The following is an 8,091-nucleotide window of genomic DNA, read 5'->3' on the forward strand; positions in this document are numbered from 1 at the left end:
TTACCTCCCAGACATCAGTCACTCTCCCCAAAGCATTTGCTTGCCAAAGGGGAAACTTTGAACCCTGAAAGACCTTTAAATAAAGTAGTTAAGATAGTCTGGGTGGGGTAGTTTTATGCACAAGAGGTCAACCCGCTGGATCAGGGAGTAAATTACAAGGATTCAAATTTGCACCCTCACACCCTTTTCCTCTATAAATCCTCCAGTCCAGGAGAGAACACATAGAAGGACCTGATAACTGCGTGTTCACCGTGCACAATATTCACCACTCTCTCTCTCCCCCTTCTCTTCTTTAGTCTCACAGCATTAATTTAGGATCTCGCTGTCTCCCTCATCTCATTCCTGAACTAGCAGAATAGCTTCCTGACTGCTGACTGGACTAATAGTTTACCTCCTCTCAATCAACTTCAACTTTCCATCCTACCATTAATTTTTTTTTTTTTTTTTTTTTTTTTGAAACAGAGTCTTGCTGTGTCGCCAGGCTAGAGTGCAGTGGCACAATCTCGGCTCACTGCAACCTCTGCCTCCTGAGTTCAACCGATTCTCCTGCCTCAGCCTCCTGAGTAGCTGGGATAACAGGCACGCATGACCACACCCAGCTAATTTTTTGAATTTTTAGTAGAGATGGGGTTTCACCATGTTGATCAGGCTGGTCTCAAACTCCTGACCTCGTGATCTGCCCACCTCAGCCTCCCAAAGTGCTGGGATTATAGGTGTCAGCCACCGCATCTGGCCCCATTAATCTTAAAATACTGGTTTGACTTTGCACTCACCTGTGCCTCATTGCCTGAAGAATAAAAAAGAGGCTCTGTCCCCAACATGTCTCTTGTGCTTATTCTTTAAGTCTGTGCTCAGACACCATCTCTAATTCTGTGCTCCCTCGAGGAAAATTTAGTTCTCCCTGTTCTCTAGATAGAGTGCTTTTTACACTCTCCTACTATTAGAATTAATTGTTTATGTGTCTGTCTCCACACAAGGCTGTGACCCCCACCAGGACATGACCACACCTTTGTTTTCTGTAGTTCTGTATCTTTAGCCCAATGTGTGGACTACATGACTATTCATTCAATGAATGATGGTGTGGAGGCTGAAGTGACTCCATCTTGGATGCTAATCCACATGTTGACTTCTGATTAACCTCAGTTCTGGGAATGCCTGTAAGGTTTCTATTTTATCTACCGCTCCTTGGGTAAGAGCATGTACTTGCCAAAAATCCTGCCCATAGGTCAAAATGACCTTGACTATAAATCCTGCCCCTAGTCAAATTCTATGCCAAGACATAGTATTCTTGCCCTTCCCTAGCAGGTCAACTTCAGTTGCCCTACATAGTCTTTCCCTGTGGTATATAAGCCCTGGGTCTGGAGGAGGTGATGGTGCTGGGATCCACCATCTTGCCTTGCCCTCAGACATGGCTTCTGTTTGTAAGTCCCTACTAAATGTTTCTTTCTAAGAAACAACACTTCTCAGCCTCTTTCTTCAACCTCTCAGCTTCCTCAGGCTTTGGGGGTAGATTTATATAGATCTGCCCACTACGGAACAGATGAGCATGAAATAAATTATCTTTAAAGTAATTATGAAGCTACAGTATTTAAGTTCCTCACAATTTGAAGTAAGACAATTGTGAAATAATAGAAAAATAAGGATTTGAACAGTAAAGACAGACTAAGGTTTCAATCTAATCCTTGTGACAGAGTAGCTATGTTGGCCAAGTTCCATACAACCCCTGAACTTCAGTACTTTAATTTGGTTGTTATGAGGGTGGGATGCAATCCACACAGAGAAGCTGGCCCATAGAAATTGCTCTAACAGAGCAGACAGCTAATATTACAAGCTTGGTCCAAGTTTTCCTTTCCAGAATTTCCTCCCAGAATTTCTATGTGGCATTTGGGTTAGGAGGGGCAGGTTCTGGCATTGGGTTGTCTAGTTTCAAATCCTGGCCTGACCTCTTGCTAGCTGTGTGCTCTTATACAACTTGCTTTCCCTTTTTGCCCTTCAGTTTCTGCATCTGTAAATGAGAAAACAACAGTACCACCTCACAAAATTTTATGTGAAGATTAAGTAAGATAATATAGGTAACATACTTAGGATAGTACCTGGTCCCAAGAAGTGCAAAGTAAATGTGAGCTCTTGTTACTGAAACTCCTAAGCACAACCCACACATTAAGCCTCTTACCTTTGTACATGTTATTCCTCCCTTTGGCAGCCTTGTCTTTCTCATTTCTGTCAAGACCTACACATTTCCCTAATCCTCCAAACCAAAATTTTTAGTTAGCTTATTTTTTATTTAATATTTATTCAATATTGATGAGAAGCATCATAGCAACCATCTCTAAACTTGGCTAATCATAGGAATCATCTATGGTGTTTGTAGAAAACACAGATTTGTGATCTTATCCCAGAATTTCTGAATCCTGAGATGTGCACTGTTAACAATATACCAGGTGGTCATTATGATGAGCAAGTTTAAAAAGCATTACCATATAGCAAAGTTCTTGAATCTCTTTACCAAGCTCCATGACCTGGGTAAGTTTATTTAACTTCTCTAAGTCTCAGTTTCCTCATCTGTAAAATGGATATAATAATTGTATCTATTTAACTGGATTGTTATGAGGAGGAAATGAGATATTGTGTAATGCATTTACCACAATACCCTGGCACAGAGTAAACGCCCAGTGTCCGCCTGTATACACAGTATATTATACTGTGTGCTAATATTTAACACACATTATCTATTCCCCCTGCCAAAGGTACAAGCTAAATATCATTATCTTCATTTTACAGATAACACTAAATTAACATGTGTTGAATAATTACTATGAGAAAACAGGCTTATAAAATTTGACTGCCTTGGCTGAGTGTGGTGACTCACGTCTAATCCCAGCACTTTGGGAGAGGCCAAGGAGGGAGGATCATTTGAGATCAGGAGTTTGAGACCAGCCTGGGCAACACAGTGAGGACCCATCTCCGAAAAAAAAAAAACCATTTTAATTAGCTGGGTGTGGTGGTGCACACCTGTAGTCCCAGCTACGTGAGAGGCTGAGGTGGGAGGATCGCTTGAGCCCAGGATATCAAGGCAGCAGTGAGCCGTGACTACACCATTGCACTCCAGCCTGTGCAACAAAGCAAGACCTTGTCTCAAAAAGCCAACACGGTGAAACCCTGTTTCTACTAAAAATACAAAAATTAGCTGGGCATGGTGGTGTGCACCTGTAATCCCAGCTACTTGGGAGGTTAAAGCAGGAGAATCGCTTGAACCCAGGAGGCAGAGGTTGCAGTGAGCCGAGATGGCACCACTACACTCCAGCCTGAATAACACAGTGAGACTCTATCTAAAAAAAAAAAAAAAAAAAAAAAAGCTACATCGTCTAAGATCGTAAAACCAGCCAATGGCGGAACTGGATATCAGTAAAAACCTTTATTGCTTCAAAGACCACCATCTTGCCACTATACCACACTGGGTCACACACAAGATTTCTTTCTCCTTCTCCTCCTCCTCTTTCTCCTCTTCATCCTCCCTCTTGTTACAGTTTAGGGCAGTGGGGGGAGGTGTTACTGGCATTCAGTGGCTAGAGGCTAAGGATGCTTCTAAACATTCCACAATGCACAGGACAGCCCTTCACAAGAATTGTCCAGTTCCAAACGTGAATAGTGCCAAGGTTGAGAAACCATGCCCATAAATGACAGATTTCCTAAGGGCAGGAACTAGGTACCACTCGTGTTTGTATCCTCTACAGCAGTCCTTCTCAATATGTGCTGCATTCTGTAACCACTTGGAAAGCTCCCTGAATCACCCTCAAAATGTTTGACTTAATTGTTCTGAGGTGAGGCCTGGGCATTAGCATTTTTTAAAGCTCCTGGGATGATGGAGATGTTCGAAAATTGAATTGTGACAAGACATAATTCTGTAAACTTACTAAAAAATCATCGAATTGTAACTTAAAGTGGGCAAATTTATGATATGTGAATTAACCTTCAACAAAGCTGTTAAAAATAAGAAGAAAAAAGCTCCCCAGGTCTCTTATGTTCCTCCCTCTGTGAGAACAGCTTTTCTTAAGGGTTTGCCATAGTGTTTTATTCATAGCTGCTGCTTGGCAGATATTAATTGTACAAACTGAAATGTAACTAGATTGATTTAAATGTGCAGAACAATGACCTCTACATAATAGCCAGAATATAACTGCTTTAAAGCTCTTCATAGAAATTTGTATTACGTTGAAAATGGCAAAGTCCTTTGGCCCAAGAGCCTCAGCAGTTTGGACATCTGAAGCTGGCTGAGTGGTTGGCTTCCTAGGGATCATTACGACATGGAAGCTGAAAGGGCACTCAATGTACATTTCTACCAAGCAGGACACTCAGCTTCCTGCACCCAGAAAAATTGGAAGCAGCTCTTTTCCCAGTGAATTGTGGGGAAACAAACTGGTTATATATCCATGAAATCATCCACTGTGACTTAAAGTTTTCATATTAGATTTCACAATCAACACCCCCTTGCCAGTTAAGCCATATTTCTTTCTGATTGGTAGTAGTAAGATAAAACTGACCTATTTTTTGTGGTGTGACATATCATTACAGGCCTATGTGAAATTATGAGTTTAAATGAACTAGAAAAGGAGAATCCTTTCCAAAAGTGAGTGCTGCCTTGCTATTTGGAGAAGATAAAACTTACCAACTTTAGACTTATCATGAGGAAAACTAAACTGTCCACCTCCCTTTTTGGCATCAGAATAAGGGGAGGGTAGATCACTACTATACTTGTGGAGGGCAAAACAAAGATCTGAGTCCCCCTTTCTGGGGTCCATTTTAAAAGACATACAGACAAATGAGTGTAGCTTCTCTGGGGATAAAAAAAATTCATTTGATTTTGTTTTACCTAAAGCAGCTTTTTCTGAAGATGATTTTCAGACTTTTTATTTATTTTGCTCCCAGTAATAGCCAGTGGAGTATTTTAAGTGGAATGCAAGACTCCCCCACTCCTTATCTATTTACAGCACTGTGTTAATATACAGTCAGGCTACTGTTCTAATGAGTATTCCTTTAGGTTTGCATGTACACAGGTTGGAGTCGTAGTATGTCTGTATTAGGCTGTTCTCGCATTGCCATAAAGAAATACCTATGGCTGGGTAATTTCTGAAGAAAAGAGGTTTAACTGACTCATGGTTCTGCAGACTTTACAGGAAGCATGATGTTGGCATCTGCTCAGCTTCTAGGGAGGCCTTAGGAAACTTACAATCATGGCAGAAGGCAAAGGGGAGCAATCTCGTCACATGGCGAAAGCAGAAGCAAGCAAGCGGGGGGGAGCGGATGCCCCACCCTTTTAAACAACTAGGTCTGGCAATATCTCACTCACTATCTCAAGGACAGCACCAAGAGGATGGTGCTAAACCATTCATGAATAATCCAACCTCATGATCCAGTCACCTCCCACCAGGCCCCACCTCCAATAATGGGGATTACAGGTCAACATGAGATTTGGGTAGGGACAGATATACAAACTATATTAATGTCCTCTTCTGTTCTTCTTTCTGATGAGGTGGGCTTTTCTTAATACCATTTATTGTTATGTGACCCTTCCTTCTCAGCTTGGTAATAACCAGATCACCTGACTATGAAGTTTTCTGAGAAGTACCCTAAGGGAATGCTCATCTCCCCACCAAGTCCTGGGTTCCCCACTGACCACATAAAGCCAAGGGGGGCCTAGGAAAGTGTACTTGCTGGCTAAGCCTTGACCCCACCAAATCCTTTTCAGGGAATTGAGTGGAGAACAAGACACCTATGTCACCCACTTACTCACTGGGAAATCTGTAGGACAGGCATTTCCATACACTAAGACTTTTGTGGCAGGGTAGGATTTTCTTTTCCCCATGCCTTATTTAACTACAGGACAGTAGCAGTTCCATTTTCCATTAGGCAATAGATATAGACCTTATGCATGTTATTCAAACTCTATGCCTGTTTCCTCATTTGTAAAATATGAATAATAATAGCACATACTTCATAGTCATAACTACAAGTGCTCAATAAATGGGAGGTAATTTTTTATAAGGCAATATGGAAACAGAAACTTTGTCAGAAGAGTGAGGCATTGAAGTTATTCTCTGAGCAGGATTGTCTATTGACCAAAGAAATGTTGCTTGCTTATTAACCTGAAGTGCTCCCCACAGAAGAATCTGAAGGACTTAAAACCTTTTTCACTTACACCCAGGAAAGAACTGAAGTCACTTCAGGATGGAGCCATTAGTGACTCCTCCAGGTGCCCTAAAAAGAGCACAGAGGGAGGAAGAAAAAAAAAAGGTTGTGAGGGTTCCTCTGAGAAAGAGAAAAGACACCATATTGGAAAAGGCTTCCAGTTGCCTGAGGTAGGCACTCTTTGAGGACTAAGATGTGACTCTGTAGGAACACAGAAATGCTTGGCACCATCCTCTGCAGTCAGTTTACCTGTCCAACAGTAACATTTTGCTTCATTTTCTGGTAATAAACTTTTCCTGCACACTTGTCCAGACATTTTGTACTCAGCTGACATGTTTTCCTAGAGGCTTCTAGGAAGGGTGGGCGCCCTCTAGTCAGGATGTCTGGAAGCGCTTGTTAAGCACCAGTTTTTCTAGGCACTGGAGGGAAGAAACGGGAGAAAAGGCAGAGAGTGAGGACAGAAGGAAGAAAAGAAAGTTCCTGTCAAGCTGTTTCTGGAGAGATAAGGCTTACATCATGAAATGAAACTACAGTTAAGACAATAAGTTATTAAGTTGCACCTACATGTGTTTTGAGAAAGGAGAAATCTGTGGGGACATAGGAAGTCAAGGAACCTGAAGGGGGAATAATGTGTAAATACTGATTTGAGTGCCTGCTCTAGTATTTTACCCCTCACAATAACTCAAAAGTTAGATATCATTTCCCTCATTTAACTTAGGAAATTGCAGCACAGTGACATTTAAAACCATGCCCAACGTCACGTGGCTAATAAGAAGAAGCTGAGTCTAAGCTGGTACCCAGGTTTGTCTGTATCCAATGCCCTTGCTCATTCCACTCTCTCTTGGCCTTGAAATGAGATCTGAAAGATGGTTATGAATTGGATAGTGGTGATAATAAAGTGGGTGGATTCCAGGTTTTAGTTCAGGAGAAGGAAGTATAGATTGAAGAGGTGGTTTATGAGGGTAAAACTTCATTTCCTTTACTTTGGAGATTACTGTGCAAAAAAATACATAAGGCAAAGAGAGTTAAACCATACAGTGGGCTTCTTCCCTTGGAAATTCTCCTGATGATCTGGTGCTACAGGATTTTACCTCGGCAGCTTTGTGGAGACAATCCAACCCAGTGCTGGAAAGTTCCAACAGCCTCTCTGTGATTTTATGAGCAGATGGCACCATTTGGACCATATTTCAGAACTTACAGATTTTGCCCAGAATTTTTTATTTTTCATTTTCTATGTATAATTCATACGAGCCTTGACAGCTTGCCTTGCTGAAATACTTTCCTTTTACACTCTTGTGCTCTCAGTTGGTCTCTACCTGGCTGAGCCACTGGCCAGTGTAAGCAAATAAATAGTAATTTTTATAATAGTAATTCATGCCTAGTTTTTACGAAAGTAATTCAAACTATAAATTTTGTAGGAATTTTCAAAGTCTATCTTGAATATTTATCTGTCTTGTTCGGATACTACCTCAATATGATAGTCAGAAAGGAAAGGAGACCTAGCAATGCCTGGTTTCCCTGCTGGGCACTTATACACACATTATCTCATTTTATTGCCATCACTAATATTTGTGAGGCTCTCACATCCAGAATCTGAATGATAGGATGAATCATACTCTAGAGTTTGTAGCACATGATTGACAGCACAACCTGCATAGGCCCTTTTAAATTTAATTGTATGCATTTTTTGTCATCTTCACCTCCCATACTCAATGCCACTTGCCATCTCTTCTCTCATCATGCACATTCAATCTCATATATTTAACGCATGTCATTCCATCATCCATACCTTTATTCACAAGTTTGTGTAACAATGAACAACATAAAGTATTATTTTGTGTTTTGTATAAACTGCATTGTGCTAAGCCTTTTATTTTGCTTTTTACTTTTTATACTCTATATTAC

The sequence above is a fragment of the Homo sapiens genome, chromosome 6, assembly GCF_000001405.40.
Source record: "Homo sapiens chromosome 6, GRCh38.p14 Primary Assembly".
NCBI classification, from domain to species: Eukaryota; Metazoa; Chordata; class Mammalia; order Primates; family Hominidae; genus Homo; species Homo sapiens.